This window comes from Homo sapiens, chromosome 1 (genome assembly GCF_000001405.40).
Source record: "Homo sapiens chromosome 1, GRCh38.p14 Primary Assembly".
Taxonomy (NCBI): domain Eukaryota; kingdom Metazoa; phylum Chordata; class Mammalia; order Primates; family Hominidae; genus Homo; species Homo sapiens.
The window spans coordinates 39380759-39397555 of record NC_000001.11 but is presented as its reverse complement, the minus strand read 5'-3'; the positions used below and the strand labels follow the sequence as shown (position 1 = coordinate 39397555).

General features: G+C 43.7%; 1 protein-coding gene across 2 annotated transcripts in view, besides 1 other annotated feature; it reads right to left on the bottom strand.

Moving 5' to 3' along the window:
• The window catches only part of MACF1 (microtubule actin crosslinking factor 1), a 402972-nt gene that overhangs the window by 89583 nt on the left and 296592 nt on the right, over positions 1 to 16797 (bottom strand). For both annotated transcript variants that reach the window (NM_012090.5, NM_001394062.1), the window contains 3 exons: positions 15404 to 15603; positions 11627 to 12122; positions 8898 to 10369 (listed from right to left, as the gene is read on the bottom strand). In NM_012090.5, the coding sequence (NP_036222.3) occupies positions 8898 to 10369; positions 11627 to 12122; positions 15404 to 15603 (2168 nt within the window). The remainder of the gene's footprint in view (positions 1 to 8897; positions 10370 to 11626; positions 12123 to 15403; positions 15604 to 16797) is intronic.
• Positions 9669 to 10165: an enhancer, noted in NCBI's record as "MACF1 eExon fragment used in the reporter construct". NCBI's record gives its function as "activates a pGL4.23 vector minimal promoter by reporter assays in mouse liver" and the evidence as "EXISTENCE:reporter gene assay evidence [ECO:0000049][PMID:25340400]".

Here is a 16797-nt window from a genome sequence, read left to right as displayed (position 1 = left end):
GAAGTTTCGCTCGTTGCCCAGGCTGGAGCGCAATGGCATGATCTCAGCTCACTGCAACCTCTGCCTCCCGGGTTCAAGCAATTCTCCTGCCTCAGCCTCCTGAGTAGCTGGGATTACAGGCGCTCGCCACCACGCCCGGCTAATTTTTGTATATTTAGTAGAGACCGGGTTTCACCATGTTGACCAGGCTGGTCTTGAACTTCTGACCTCAGGTGATCCACCCACCTCGGCCTCCCAAAGTGCTGAGATGACAGGCATGAGCCACCATACCCGGCTGTCAGTAGGTACATTAAATGCATTTCTGACTTACAATAGTTTCGAGTTATGATGGGTTTTTCCAGACATAATTTCACTGTAAGTCAAGGCACATCTGTACACTGTTAACTAGAGACTATCTGAGACTCCAGTACCCACCACAAGGACTAGCACAGAGCAACTGCCCAGTAAGGATGGGTTAAAAGGAATATGGAATCACTTCCTTTTAACCTCCATCCATGAACCATCACCATGTGTAGCAAAGATCCATATTTCAAATGACATGACTGGTGGTAGAAAAATAGTTTATGACGTCCTAGAGAGTAAGTGTATTCCATTAACCTTCTATAGTCAATAAGAGAGACTCGTAGTTGAAAAGCACTTAGTGGTGGCAAAGTAGGGAGGGTGCACATTCTACCCATAGCTGGGTTTTTCCAACTGGGACAGCTGAGACTTGTGAAGAATCCATTCAGCAGGAGACAGCCCTTTACAGTGATGGTTTGGTGCAGTGACCTGACACAACTCCCTGTGGAAGTCATTTTATTCCTAGTAAACCAGCAACTCTAACAATAAACGGCCCTTCAAAGAAACTCATCGTACTTCCTAGAAGCTCATAGCTTATTAGCGAGCTTGAAAGTGCCCAGGATATTTTTCTGAAGCTCCAGAACCAGCCTAAGGCTGAGACCATTTACCATTCATTTCTAGGCACAGTGAGGATCAGTCCTTTTCTGCAAGTCTGTGCTTATCTTAACCATGTTTACTAATCAACTACTAAACGATCAATACATACAAGTTCTGCACAGGATACATTCTAGTTTTTCTGGAAATATATTTCTTCCTTCTTATACAAATGATAAATCTTAGTTGTGAATGCTACATACTGATACTGTATGTGAAGAATTTTAGTAAACTCAAATCCAACTGCTCAGTCCTTTTCTTTGGTTACAGATATATTTGTTTGTTGCTTTTTTTTTTTTTTTTGAGATGGAGTCTCGCTCTGTCACCCAGGTTGGAGTGCAGTGGCGCGATGTCGGCTCACTGCAACCTCCACCTCCTGGGTTCAAGCGATTCTCCTGCCTCAGCCTCCTGTGTAGCTGGGACTACAGGCGCATGCCACCATGCCCGGCTAAGATGGGGTTTCACCATGTTGGCCAGAATGGTCTCGATCTCCTGACAGCGTGATCCACCTGCCTCAGCCTCCCAAAATGCTGGGATTACAGGCATGAGCCACTGCGCCTAGCCTGTTTGTTGCTTTAAAATCTCACCTTGCTATCAAATTTCCAGACAGATTTTTGTAAAATCTATCAATCCTTTCTTGATGATTTTACTACCTTCCATTCAATTTTACTACCTTCACTGGGGCATGAGGCTCCTTTAAGATGATGCAGTGGCTGCAAGCCTGGGATTTTGCTTGTGACACTGATATTTAAAATACAACTGGCAATATTTTAAAAGGGAGCTGGAAAAGGTTCAACATGAAGCAAACTTAAAGGCCTTAAAGGCTCCTTCACCTTCTCCACATCCAGTTGCTATGGTGGGGGTGGAGAGGATTATTACAGAGCATTGGAATTCTTTGTGGGGTGGGGAGGTGGGGGTGGTCACATAAGGGTTATAAATATCAGCAGCCAAACTCTTGGTTGGCTGTGGAGAACAACTGAGAGACTGTAGTCTCCCCTTAAAGGCACAGAACAAGGAAGCTCCCTGAAGTATGTCCACAAAGGAAGTTCCTCTTCTCTTTGGCAATGCATCATCAACCAAACACCTGCATCAACAACTGACAACTGTACGTAAATTCCAGCCAGGGAAAGTGACCAGGAGGTGTTAAGCCAGACACAGATTAAGGCCAGCAAAAATAAAGAATCCAGAGCCTGGCTTAAAGGAAAGCTGACTTAGAAGTGGTTGTTGCCACTACACACAGTCATAATCAGATTATCAGAAGGCTGCTTGTTACATAAATATTTAACTAGTAACCTATTCCACCTGAATTCTAAGTTTCCCATGTATAGGTGGCAATTTCTTCCAGGGCTATAGTTCTCAACAGAGGGTAATTCTGCCTTCCAGGGAGACATTTTTAGTTGTACAACTGGGAAGTTACTAGGTCAGAAATGCTGCTAAACAGCCTACAATGCACAGGACAGCTTCTCACAACAAAGAATTATCCAGTCCAAAATGTTGATAGTGGCAGGCAGAGGTGGTGGCGTGAGTGGCTGCCCCTTTCCTCCCCACCCACCCCCAAAAAATGTCAATAGTGCCGAAATTGAGAAATCCATTTTAGGATACTGTCTTTATTTCCTTGGACCCTAGTTCCTATTTGGAGTAGCTTTGTTTAAGGAAGAAAGGAAAAAACCAAGACAGGCCAAGGAAGGGTCAGCACAAGGTGGGGGTTGGCAGGGATAGAGGATACCCACTCATCTTGGTAAAGCTGGGGAAACCTAAACCTCCAGGTGACAGACAGGTCATACCAAGTGTGATTTCCTGTCTCTCCAAGGGCAGGTAGATAACGCTAACCTCATTTGCTCTATCCTCCAGTGACTCACTCTCAGGCAGGTGTACTAACTGCCAAAAACGTACATGAGCTGATACTGTCCTTGTAATCATTTGAAAGGAAGGAGTAAACTGGCAGTCTTTCAACTCCATGCTGGGCCCTGTCTTCCAGGGCTTTTCTTTTTCTTTTTTTGGAGACGGAGTCTCTTTCTGACACCCAGGCTGGAGTGCAGTGGTGCGATCTCGGCTCACTGCAACTTCTGCCTCCCAGGTCCAAGCCATTCTCCTGCCTCAGCCTCCCCAAACAGCTGAGACTACAGGCATGTGCCACCATGCCCAGCTAATTTTTGTATTTTTAGTAGATACAGGGTTTCACCATCTTGGCCAGGCTCGTCTCGAACTCCTGACCTCAGGTGATCCACCCACCTCAGCCTTCCAAAGTACTGGGATTACAGGCGTGAGCCACCGCCCCCAGCCTCTTCCAGGGCTTTTCTCATGTGCACATGAAGATGCCTAAGCTTGCTTTCTATGTGGCAATAAATCAATCAATCAATCAATCAATCAATCAATCAATCAAATGAAGGCGTTTACAAGACTTTCTTATTCTGTTTTCATAGTAGGATACCTAGGTCCCCCGGTAGAAACTTCAAGTATACTGAGACCCTGATCCTGGGCTCTGCTCAACCTGAATTAGGAATGAAAATAATCCTAAGGAAGCCTGATGCTGCACCTATTAGAACCCAGCAGCCCAGCCTCAAAGACAAGAAAGGAAAAGACCAACTGGTTTGGGTGCTTTATATGCACCACTGGGTGAAGTGAACCACTATGAGAAACTCGCAGACCCTAAAGAGGTCTGTCAGTCAATTTTTCCCATTGTTCGTTCGTTCGTTCTTTCTTTCTCTTTCTTTCTTTTCTTTCCTTCCTTCCTTTCTTTTCTTTCTCTCTTTCTTTCTCTCTCTCTCTCTCTCTCCCTCCCTCCCTCTCTCTCTGTCTTTCTTTCTTTTTTTTTTGAGACAGGGTCTCACTCTGTTACACGCTGGACTGCGGTGGCATGGACGCAGCTCACTGCAGCGTCAACGTCCTAGGATCAAGTGATCCTCCTGCGTCAGCCTCCTGTGTAAGCTGGGACCACAGCATGTGCCGTCATGCCTAGCTAATTTATTTATTTTTTATAGAAGGGCCGCCTCATTTTGTTGCCCAGGCTGGTCTCGAACTCCTGGGCTCAAGTGATCTGCCCACATCAGCCTCCCAGAATGCTATGATTATAGGTGTGAGCCACTGTGCCTGGCCCCATTGTTCATTTTATCACTGAGAGGTAGAATGCCAAGTCTGAAGCATGACCCAAATACACAACAATATAAATACATATGAAAAACAAGTGAATGAAGGTGCATCCAGGTTTCTTGATAATGCTCACCAGTATGATGCCCAAACCATCAAATACTTTCTGAGTGAGAAGTCACATGGTTCTTGCGGGGAGCAGGGGGCAAAGGAGGGGTTGGTTTAAGATTCAGAATGATCTCAGTTCAAGTAAAACCTACGTAGGGAATTTCAAAATGAGGAAAATCTCTTGTTATCATCAGAGACTTAACATATATATATATATATATATATATATATTTTTTTTTTTTTTTTACCCTTCCCAGGAAGGTCACTCTAGGGGAATTCTTTGGCTCAAGTTTCAGTGATAAAAACGTCCTTCCTTTCTTGTTAGCCTCCTGTTAGACACATACAATTCCTTTTCCTCAATAACCAGACTCCCTTGTTCAGGAAAACGGAATTTCCTGAAGAGATTTGCCAAAGTCTTTTCTTTCCAGCTTTCTGAAAACAAGCTCAATCCTCTCATTAGTGATTTCTAGAATGGCTTCTTCCTTTCTACTTCCAACAGAGAGCTGAACCTGGTAAAGATCCTAACTCAGGAAGCCTGAGATCTCTGCCTGGTTTGAGTGGAAAGGAACTCTCTTCCACTCCCATGTGATAGAATCTGGTCTGCCAGTGAGGACCTACTAATCATTCAGAAGCAACTGAGGGAAAGCCTTTCCTAGGAATAATGTATTTTAGTATTCCACATTCATTTAAGGAAGAAATAATTTTCCCCACAGACTGCAGATCCATGGATCTATCAGCAAGACTGTACAGTCCCAAGTAAGACTGGGGGGTTCTTCACAGGCCTAACTCATCTGTCTATTCTAGCTCCCATGGAGTTAGCTGGGTTAAAGCAGAGTTTCCGTCTCCCAGATTCATATCCTCTTCTCTTGTGCAGATTCTGTGCTAAAAGTATGATTCCATTAAAAAAAGAGCTGAAAACTTACAGCTAATGCTGTTTTTAAAAATATTTATCTTCATCTTTGTTTTTACCTTATTAAAAATAATTTGAATCTGAAAACAGAGTCATACTTTATAAATCTGGTCTGCTGCTGGAGTAAGGAAAGATTAATCTATGGCTGGACTATAATACATTAACCCAGGAACTCCACACTCAAATCATGAAAATGACTCAGTCCTCAGAATGGGTCCAAAAAGACCTTCCCTTTATGCGGCCTCCTGGGGACTATGGAACTGACACACAGAATTTTTCTCCTCTCATTGTTTTCACTTCCGATGAGCTCAGCATGAGTTCAGCCAAGAATATGCTCCTCCCCTCCTGACCAAAGATTTTTGCTGGGAGAAGGCAAAAACTCTTTCCAAAGCTTTTGACTTCCCTACAAGGTGGACAGGTGGAACAGGGCTTTTGATTTGCATCCCCAACTTGAGGGTGGATACTGATCATTTTATGGTAACTACCTACTGACTTGACAATGGACTACACACAGGACACTCCACCACCCTTCTCCCTTCTCCCACTCTTCTTCCAGGCTTGCCTTGTCAACACCAGTCCACTGTTGATGAACACACTCTGCAAGAGCCCAGCCGATCAGTGTCCAGTCCCAGCCTTCACATCCAGAGTATCTGAGGTGGAAGGCTTATTTTTAGAAATCAGTGAAACGAATTTGGCTATGACAAGCAACTAAGTGCTATTGAACTCTGAGCACTATTAGGCAACATACTAGGATAGAAATAAGATAAAGTAATGCCCAGTAATTTTTTGAAATCTTCCAGCAACATCAAAAGTCAGAATGTCTCTAGAAACCAAGGATTAAATGAAAAGGAAAAGATGACTTGTCCTCAAATCCAAACACTATTTATGCCTGCATGTGGACTCTTTTGTACATTTTAGCTCATATCTAATGCAATTTTAACAGGCCTGTTTATCTCATTTTCTAGCTCAGTGAAGATTAGAAGGGAGGAATAGACTACACAGACCAAATGACAGCAGTGAAAAGTGATAGCAGTAGGAAATAATAACCAATATCATGGTGGTGGGCAGAAATCCCAAAATTACCTCCTCCTCTCCACACACACATGCACAGCCAATCCAACCAGTATAATACTATAGAGGCCCTAAACAATAACTTCAATATAGAAATCAAAGTGCACAGTAATTTGGGAATACTTAATACAAAGCAGCTCCAAATGTGTCTCACATCCTTGAGAATATCACCATAGTATAGACAGTACAACCATTTAAATAATGTTAACCTGCACTCATTAAAAAAAACTTATGCATAATACATATTTAGAAAATTAGGCAAATTGAGTTTAAAATAATTCCTATATAAACCAGAACCTGGTTAGATGAAACTATTTTGTGTGTTTTTTTTTTTTTGAGAAGGAGTCTCACTCTGTCACCCAGGCTGGAGTGCAGTGGCGCCATCTTGGCTCACTGCAAGCTCCACCTCCTGGGTTCATGCCATTCTCCTGTCTCAGCCTCCCGAGTAGCTGGGACTACAGGCGCCTGCCACCATACCCAGCTAATTTTTTGTATTTTTTTTTAGTAGAGACAGGGTTTCACCGTGTTAGCCAGGATGGTCTCGATCTCCTGACCTCGTGATCCACCCGCCTCGGCCTCCCAAAGTGCTGGGATTACAGGCGTGAGCCACCGCACCCGGCTGATAAAACAAAACTATTTTGGAGCCTAAAGGGATAAGTTTCAGTTTTCTAAAAATTTCATTGAGTTGGTTAGATGGTTAATTCTAAATAGCCTGGATGCAAGTAAATTGGATAACTGAAGCATACCTGTAGAAGAAAGTCTCTGCTTTTGAGACACTTATAACAAAAGAGGAAAGAAAAATGTGCAAGCTGAAACAGGGAAGGCCACACTACCACTAGAAAGGAAGTTTCTAAGAGGAATGCACTGCTTCACGGGTTTACGTTTTCTCTACCTACCCTTTCCTTATCTGGGTGCCTCAAGAAACCCAAATACGATGACTCCTCTTGCTCAAAATTGTACTATCTCCAAACATGGTAAGAAGGCCTTCAGCCAATGTCCCACTTTAGTGCTGAATTTCTCCCAAGCTCCTAGAGGGGCCCTTCTGAAACAGCCACATTTTTGCACTTGGATCCTGTCTACAAAACTGTGACGTCTCTAGGACTACGTGGCTCTGAGCTGGTGTCAACATTACCTCTGCATCCATGTTTTTAAGATAAATAACGCTGGCAAGCAGGGTCTCTGAGATCACAATTTTACTTTAATGGCAGGAGTGTTAACTGTGTAAGCAGGAATAATTAACTCTAGTGATGGAAACAAAGTGCTGAAAGTATCCTTTCCAAATCTATTCCATGTACAGTGGCAGAGTGAGAGACTTTTACGTATTTACCACAAGGAAAACTCTAGGGGCAACAGGTTAATATAGTGAGAACCAAGATCCAACAGATGTGCTCCTAACCCAGTAAATCCACACTTTTGGGTCATGTAATCATCTCCTGTTACTTTAATTTATACTCACACAATCTCAGGAATGGAGATTTTGGCTCAGGCAAAGAATTAAAGTATTTTTGCAATTAAGGCAGTACTTCTCAAACTTCTTTCCTATAGGCAAAGAACTTGTACTCTTGAGGAGTCTGGGATGTATTATTAAGCTGCTTACTATATAAATGGGAGATTTATTTGAAGTGTCATGTTTTATCTTAACAATTAATGATAATTTTATGTTTTATTCCATAATATATCAAATATACATCAATATCCTCCCCTAAAATCTATGTAAAATAAACCCTTTAGGAAGATGAGACTATGTTTAACTTACGGCTTTTCATACCTCAATTTGAAAAACAGGGGGCTGAGTGCGGTGACTAATGCCTGTAATCCCAGCACTTTGGGAGGCTAGGGCGGGTGGATCACTTGAGGTCAGGAGATCGAGACCAGCCTGGCCAATATGGTGAAACCCCATCTCTACTAAAAATATAAAAATTAACCAGGCGTGGTGGTGAGCGACTGTAACCCCAGCTACTTGGGAGGCTGAGGCAGGAGGATCACTTGGACCCCGGAGGTGGAGGTTTCAGTGAGCCTAGATCGCCCCACTGCACTCCAACCTGGGCTACAGAGCAAGACTCTGTCTCCAAAAAAAAAAAAAAAAAAAAAAAAACACACAAAAACCAGAGACCTGAAGATACATTCACTGCTATTACAAAATCTGGTAATCTGAAATCTCAAGAAATCCTAAAAGGAAATTCTTAGAGTAAGAGATAAGACTTGGACATTTCTTTCTATATCCTTAATTGGTTATAAAGACTGAAATAAACTACAATAGAAAAATGCTCTGGCTGGGCGTGATGGCTCATGCCTGTAATCCCAACACTTTGGTAGGCTGAGGTGGGCGGATTGCCTGAGCTCAGGAGTTTGAGACCAGCCTGGGAGACATGGTGAAACCTCGTCTCTACAAAAAATACAAAAAATTAGCCGGGTATGGTGGCGCCTGTGGTCCCAGCTCCTTGGGAGACTGAAGTGGGAGGATCGCTTGAGCCTATGAGGTCGAGTCTGCAGTGAGCCGAGATCGCACCACTGCACTCCAGCCTGGGTGAGAGAGAGAGACCCTGTCTCAAAAAAAAAAAAAAAAAAAAAAAAGAAGAAGAAGAAGAAAAAGAAAAAGAAAAATGCTCAAACCAGTTTGCTCAGAAGTCCGAGAGACTATTTAGTCTTCAGACAGTGTGCTTTCATGGTGATGGAAGTGACAATAATAAAACTAGGGACAGAAGTTAAAATGTATACTTGACTGGTTTCCAAGTTACAAGCAAATAAATACATGTAAAAGAAAAAGAAAAACAAGGTTCAGACTTACTTTAAAATCTGCTAATTGTTGGTTGATGATTTCCACTTCGGTCCCCACTACCCACTGGAGGGCCTCTGCCTCCTCTGCTGCTGTGGTCGCGTCATTGAGTCCTTTCAATTTCCTGTAGAAGTCCTCTACACGGCCTAGTGTCAGTTCCAGCTGTTCCTGACGAGCTTTCCCCCTCTCTGTCAGTTTGCCACACTGTTTGTTCAGGGCTTCTAGCTCCCTTTTGAGACCTAACAAATCCAGAGTCCCCTCTTCTTCTAGCATATGTCGACACTCTGCTTCAGAGGCCTCTATGTCTAATTTGAGGACGTGAATTTTGTTAAGGAATAGCCGGACATCCTCGATTTGGGACTGGAGGCTATCAGTGTCTCTGCCAATAGCACCCATGCCATCTAGCTCATCATCCAGGTCTGCCAATTGAGAGAACATCTCTCGGACCCGGCAGTGAAACTGGCCAATCCCCTCCAGCTTGTTTTCCATCATCACACAACCACTGTTCACTCTTTGCTTAACTTCGAGGAACTCTTGCTGGGCGACCTCAGCTTGGTGGAGAAGTTGAGAAGCATCAGATCCATCTGGGGCATCTTCTACCAGACCCTGAGTAAAGTTCCTCAGATAGTCTACCTGAGGCTCTAGGGCCTGCAGCACTTCCTGTTGAGCTCTTAGCTTCTCCAGGTTCTTGTTGCTACAGGCTTGAGAACCCAGAGCATCAAAGATCTCAAGTTGGTGTTTGGCTCCTTCAACCTTCTTTTCAATATTCTTAAAGCTTTCCTGGAACTCCCTGAGCCTCTGAGTCATTTCTTCGAGTGACCCTGTTTTGGCCTGCAGCTCTTCTGTAACAGCATCCATGTTCTGGTTGATCCCAGCCTTCTCATCCCGGATTCCATCCTCATCTGCTTCTGAAGAATTGATCAGAATGTCAGCAGCACTATTCAATATTTCCAGCAGGGAGCGGCGCTTCTCCACCTCATTCAGCATAGCCTTTGATCTTAGGAGACTGGACTCTAGCTGCACTGGATCCAGAGTGACTCGCAACTCAGACATCTTAGCTTTACAATCTTCTATCCATGGCACAAGGTCTTCCACATGCCACTGATATTTCTGAGCTTTCTGCATACAATCCTTGAGCCTGGATTGTCTGTCTGCAGTTTTTTTACTAAGCTCTTCCCAATGGTTTTTGAGCTCAACCAACTGGTTTTGTAGAGTCCTTTTCTCTTCTCCAGGAGGTACAGAAAGAAGTAGAGATTCCCCTTCAGCCACAATCACCTCATAGGAGCCACTGTGTTGATTAAGACTTTTCTGAAACTCTTCATTCTCCTGTAGCTGAGACTGTAGCCGCTCCAATTTTGCAGAAATTGGGCAGTTTTTTGCTTGCTGGCTTTGTTTATCATCCAACCAGGTCCTCAACTCATCAAACATTTGCTGGAACTGCTGGGTGCTGGCAAGAGCTGCCTGGAGTCTGTTAATGCGATCGGCTGAAATGAGAAAATAAAATTGAAATCAATAAAGCCTGAACCCTGGCATTTAAAATGTTTGCTGAGAGTATACGGTCTAATCTTGGGGGAAGGGAACTAATGTTACTTGAGGGCCTACCAAAAAGAGGCATATAATTAGGCTCCTTCATGTACACTATCTTATTTAATCCTCGTATCAACCTTGTAAGGTGATCTAAGTAACAGAAGTAAACTTTGACTTCTAGCTGGTAAACGTGAAAGTCATAAACAGTTCCAGAAAAATAAATAATAAATTAATGGCACAATTTTTCTTCTACCAAGTTATCATAAGAAGTCCAGAAGCAGCCGGGTGCAGTGGCTCATGCCTGTAATCCCAGCACTTGGGGAGGCTGAGGTGGGAGGATCAGTTGAGCCCAGGAGTTCAAGACTAGCTTGGGCAACAAAGCAAGACCTCGTCTCTACTAAAAATAAAAATAATCACTGGGTGCGGTGGCTCACGCCTGTAATCCCAGCACTTTGGGAGGCCAAGGCGGGCAGATCACGAGGTCAAGAGTTCGAGACCAGCCTGGCCAACATGGTGAAACACCGTCTCTATTAAAAATACAAAAATTAGCCAGGCATGGTGGCACGTGCTTGTAGTCCCAGCTACTTGGGAGGCTGAGGCAGGAGGATTGCTTGAACCGAGGAGGCGGAGGTTGCAGTGATCCAAGATCGTGCCACTGCACTCCAGCTGGGGCAACAGAGTGAGACTCTGTCTCAAAAAAAAAAAAGAAAAAAAAATCAGCTGGGCATGGTGGCGTGTGTCTATAGTCCCAGCTACTTGGGAGGCTGAGGTGGGAGGTTCACTTGAGCCCAGGAGATTGAGGGTGCAGTGAGCCATGATCGCACTACTGTACTCCAGCCTGGGTGACAGAGCGAGACCGTGTGTGTGTGGTATGCATAATATTAAAAAAAAAAAAAAAGTGGGTATCAATGAGAGTATATGTGGAACTCCATTTATCAGTACATCTATGGGGATGAATCTCTACTTGCTGACTGAAATTTTATTAGAGCTTTTATCTTTAGGACTATGCTATGTAAACCTTCACATTTTTAAGTGTTCACTGTGTAACAACTACAACAGTTCTCACTGCAACTAGGAGAAGGAATTGGTTTAACACCATTCTGAGTCTACAAATTACGTAAGGGAATCCTAGAATCTTGGGACTACTCCTAACCCATTCCTTCTTTCTGCTTGCCTCTAATAATGGCAGAAGTATGTTCTTCACCCCAACTTACCTGCAAGGTCTTCTAAACCTTGGAGAGGCAGGGCAACTGTCTCCAAACGCTTCTTCAGTTCATCCTTGAGGTACTGCTCACCAATGAGCACTGAGAGTTCATCGCACAGTGTCTGAGCCTCCTTAACCTCGTGGTCTAACTGCTCCAAGTCAGATCGAATTTCACTGGTCTCTTCCAATTGCTGCTTTACAGCCTCTGGTTGGGTGCTGATAGCTGACTGGACACTCAGCCGTTGTCCAACTGCCCTCACCTTCTCTGATAAGTCCTGGAGCAGTTCCTGGTACTGGGTGCTCTTAACAATAGCTTGGTCAATTTGGCTGGAACGGGAGTTGAGTTTGTCAGTCAGCTCAACCCATTTCTGATTGATGCTCTGGAGTTCTTTCTGTACTTGGCTGGTGGACAGAGAGACATCTCCAGGGCCTGTTAGGATGCCCTGAGCTGCCTCATTCAGTTGCTCATGCTGTTGCCTGCGTGCTTCAAATTCCTTTAGCATAAACTGAAATAGAAATGACACCAAGATGTTTAGACAGGAAAAAAACAGATCTATCTAAAAGCAGTGTCAGGCCAGGCACAGTGGCTCATGCCTGTAATCGCAGCACTTTGGGAGGCCGAGGTGGGAGGATCACTTGAGGTCAGGAGTTCAAGACTAGCCTGGCCAACGTGGCGAAACCCCGTCTCTACTAAAAATACAAAAATTAGTGGGGCGTGCTGGTGAACACCTGTAGTCCCAGCTACTCGGGAGGCTGAGGCACGAGAATTGCTTGAACCCAGGAGGCCGAGGTTGCAGTGAGCTGAGGCAGCACCACTGCACTCCAGCCTGGGCAACAGAGTGAGACCTTGTCTCCAAAAAAGAAAAAGCAGTGTCAAAACAAAAACTGATGTTGGATTGTGCCAAATAGTGCCAACTACTTTAAAACTATAAGCCAGAAAACTAAAGGACCAGGCTATTAGGCTGAGGCAGTATCACTTAACAATTGCTTAATAAAAACTTACTTTGAAAGGATCACTGATTGTTCCTATTTTATTTCTTTTCCTTATTTGTCCCATTCTGTTTCAATGTCAGTTACTAAGGCCAGACACGGCTGAGAAATTAAAGTTGGCATTCATCTGCTTTGCCATGCAATACCCAAGCCTCTGAATTGGGAGTTCAGAACACTGGATCCCAGAGCCAGCTGTATTACTAGCTGGGCTTGCCATGTCAACTCTCAGTGTCTGTTTTTCTTAGTTTCTTTCTTAGAATTCGAAGAGCATATACAATCTGTATTTTATAATATAGCATAATTAGACAAAGAGCTTCTTTAAGGCAATGACTATGGCTTTTTTTTCTTTTCATATCCCTTGCTGCTTTCATCAAAAAAGTTAAGATTACAGGATGTGGAGTCAGACTGCCTGTGTTCAAATCCTGGTTCTGTCACCTACTAGCTGTATGACCTTAGGCAAGATTTCATAAGTTCTCAAACCCCAGCTTCCTCATCTGTAAAATGAGGACAGTAAAGTACTTACTTTGGCTGTTATAAGGATTAAATGAGATAATTTATAGAAAGTACTCAGTATTTACACTGCACAAAAATAAATAAGACATAGCCTCACGAAATGACAAATGTGTAAACAATGAACTATAATAAAATGTAACAAAAGTAAAAATGATTAAACTCTGATGTGAACACGCAACACAGAACTGTGAAAGCATGGAATAGGGTGGCTAATTCCGCTGGGGATGACAAATGGCAGAAGACAGAAATTAGGAAAGGCTCCCTAGATGTGACAATAAAGAACGAGCAGTTCTCCAAGCAGAGCAGAGATTAAGGCTGGTGAAAGGCACTTCAGGGGAGGGTCTAGGATTAGCAGACATACAGAGATCAAAACCATTTTCATAATAATACTAAGATGTTATTTGCCTTTTAAAATTTCTGCGCTGTCACAAATGTTCAATGATGTTTCCCAGAAGCTACATGGCATTCGATATTGTAACAGATATGCAGAAGCAGAATAGCCTATTAAGCCAGAAATTAAGATTTGCAAAGACATAAAACAATGCCACTTTTTTTTTTTTGAGACGGATTCTCGCTCTGTTGCCCAGGCTGGAGTGCAGTGGTGCGATCTCGGCTCACTGTCAGCTTCGCCTCCCGAGTTCATGCCATTCTCCTGCCTCAGCCTCCCGAGCAGCTGGGACTACAGGCACCCGCCACCACACCCGGCTAATTTTTTGTATTTTTAGTAGAAACAGGGTTTCACTGTGCAAGCCAGGATGGTCTCGATCTCCTGACCTCGTGATCTGCCTGCCTTGGCCTCCCAAAGTGCTGGGATTACAGGCATGAGCCACCGTGCCCGGCCAATGCCACTCTTATTATCAAACTTTTATGTTTCGGAAAATGCTATTTTTTCATTAAAAATATGTTACTTACGTTAATGTGATGGTTTTATCATTGCTATTTTAAAAATTTAAATATATACTTTTAAAATTCCTCAGTATTTTAATACAATAAATGTTAATAGATAAACACAAGCTCTTGGGGATCCTCAGTAATTTTTCAGAGAATAAAAGGGGTTCTTGAAGCCAAAAAGTTTGAAAATCCCGGATTAGAAAAATATTTGTTAAGTAGACTAAATAGGACTCAATAATTACCTGGATGCAGGAACTAAAAGAAGCAGTTCCTTCAAAAAGTACTCTTAGGTCTTAATTTAAGGAACCTGGTAAGTTGAGAAGACATGGACCAGGCTGCGGGAGAATGTAAAAGAAGTAAAAGCCTCCAGGCAGGATTTCATTGGGAATGACATAATTTTGACCAACCTAAATTTCTTTCTTTTTTGAAGCAGTTTTTGCTCTGTTGCCCAGGCTGGAGTGCAGTGGCACCATCTTGGCTCATGGCAACCTTCATCCCGTGGGTTCAAGCAATTCTCCTGCCTCAGCCTCCCGAGTAGCTGGGACTACAGGCACCTGCCACCACGCCCGGCTAATTGTTGTATTTTTAGTAGAGGCAAGGTTTCACCATGTTGGCCAGGCTGGTCTTGAACTCCTGACCTCAGGTGATCCACCCACCTTAGCCTCCCAAAGTGCTAGGATTATAGGTGTGAGCCACTGCACCCGGCCTGACCAACCTAAATTTCTATGATGTTAGGCACTTAAATCAATTTTTTTGAGGTTTGATCACAGAAAATCCTATGTAAAGCCGGCAGATATAAGATATTAAGTAATGTGGATCACTATCACAGGGGATTACAAGTAAAAAAAAATTTTTTTTTTTTTTGAGACGGAGTCACGCTCTACTGTCCGGACAGGACACTGCAACCTCAGCCTCCTGGGTTCAAATGATTCTCCTGCCTCAGCCTCCCAAGTAGCTGGGATTTCAGGCACATGCCACCACGCCTGGCTAATTTTTTGTATTTTTAGTAGAGACAGGGTTTCATTGTGTTAGCCAGGATGGTCTTGATCTCCTGACCTTGTGACCCGCCCACCTCGACCTCCCAAAGTGCTGGGATTACAGGTGTGAGCCACCACGCCCAGCCAAAAGTAAAATGTAATTCCACAATTTAGTCAGAAAAACTCCCCATTCTCATATCTACTCATCTTACTGTCTCTATTAATAATAATAATAGAGTTTTTGACTGTTTACTATTTTACAGGCACCATGATTAACACCTTATAAATACCTCATTTAAACTGAGACTCTGAGAGATTAAATGACTTGTCCAGGATCACATGAAATCTACTTACTGGGAGAAACATTCAAACCCAGTTTCATGTGATTCCAATTTCTTTGTTGCTATATTGCTCACCTGGACCTGTTGCTTTTGTGCATTCAACATGTTGGGGTCAATAGACAGGGGCCCCAGCACTCCCATCATCAGTTCTTTCTCCATCAGCCACGGCCGGAGCTGGGATTCTGCAGCCTGGAAGCAGGCCAGATGACTTGCAGATTCCTCTAGCTGCCTTTGCCGAGCCACAGTAACCTCAGTGGCCCTTTCCCATCGGGAATCTGTAGAGAGGAAATGAGGGAATGTATTCCTTTACATTATCAACAACTGGCCTGGTACCTAAGTTATGTTCCTAATATACTGCAGGAAATGACCCCAGAAGCGTTATTTATTTATTTACTTATTTGAGACAGTGTCTCACTCTATCACCCAGGATAGAGCAGTGGCACGATCATGGCTCACTGAAGTCTCAACCTCCTGGGCCCAAGTGATCCTCCCACCTCAGCGTCCCAAGTAGCTGGGACTATAGGCGTGTGCCACCATGCCCAGTTAATTTTTTATTTTTTGTAGAGACGGGATCTCCCTATGTTGCCCAGGCTGTTCTTGAACTCCTCAAGTGGGAAAATCACTTGAGCCCAAGAGTTCAAGGCCAGCTTGGACAACAAAGCAAGACCCTATCTTTACCAAAAAAATTTAAAAATTGGCTAGTTGTGGTAGCACATGCTTGTGGTCCCACCTACTCAGGAGGCTGAAGCAGGAAGATTGCTTGAGCCAGGGAAGTCGAGGCTGTAGTGAGCTATATTGTGCCACTGTACTCCAGCCTGGGTGACAGAGCAAGACCCTGTCCCCCCCCCCAAAAAAAAAAAAAAAAAAAAAAGGCCAGGCATGGTGGCTCACACCTGTAATCCCAGCACTTTGGGAGGCCGAGGTGGGTGGATCACTTGAGGTCGGGAGTTCGAGACCAGCCTGACCAACATGGAGAAACCCCCTCTCTACTAAAAATACAAAATTAGCCGGGCATGGTGGCGCATGCCTGCAATGCCAGCTACTCGGGAGGCTGAGGCAGGAGAATCGCTTGAACCTGGGAGGCGGAGGTTGCGGTGAGCCGAGATCATGCCATTGCACTCTAGCCTGGACAACAAGAGCAAACTCCATCTCAAAAAAAAAATTTAATTAAATTAAAAAAAATTCATCTACATTGTTTACAGTTCAATATTATGAGTACACAATTTATCTAATCTCTTTATTGAATATTTTTATTATTTCCATCTTTCATTTTTATCATTAATACTCTCTTTAGTTCTTTTGTTACGTTTTTTTTGGAGACAAGGTCCCTCTCTGTTGCCCAGGTTGGAGTTCAGTGGCACAATCATAGCTCACTGCAGCCTTGAACTCCTGGGCTCAAGCAATCGTCTCGCCTCAGCCTCCCCAGTAGCTAGGACTCCAGGCTCATGCCACCACACCTGGCTAATTTG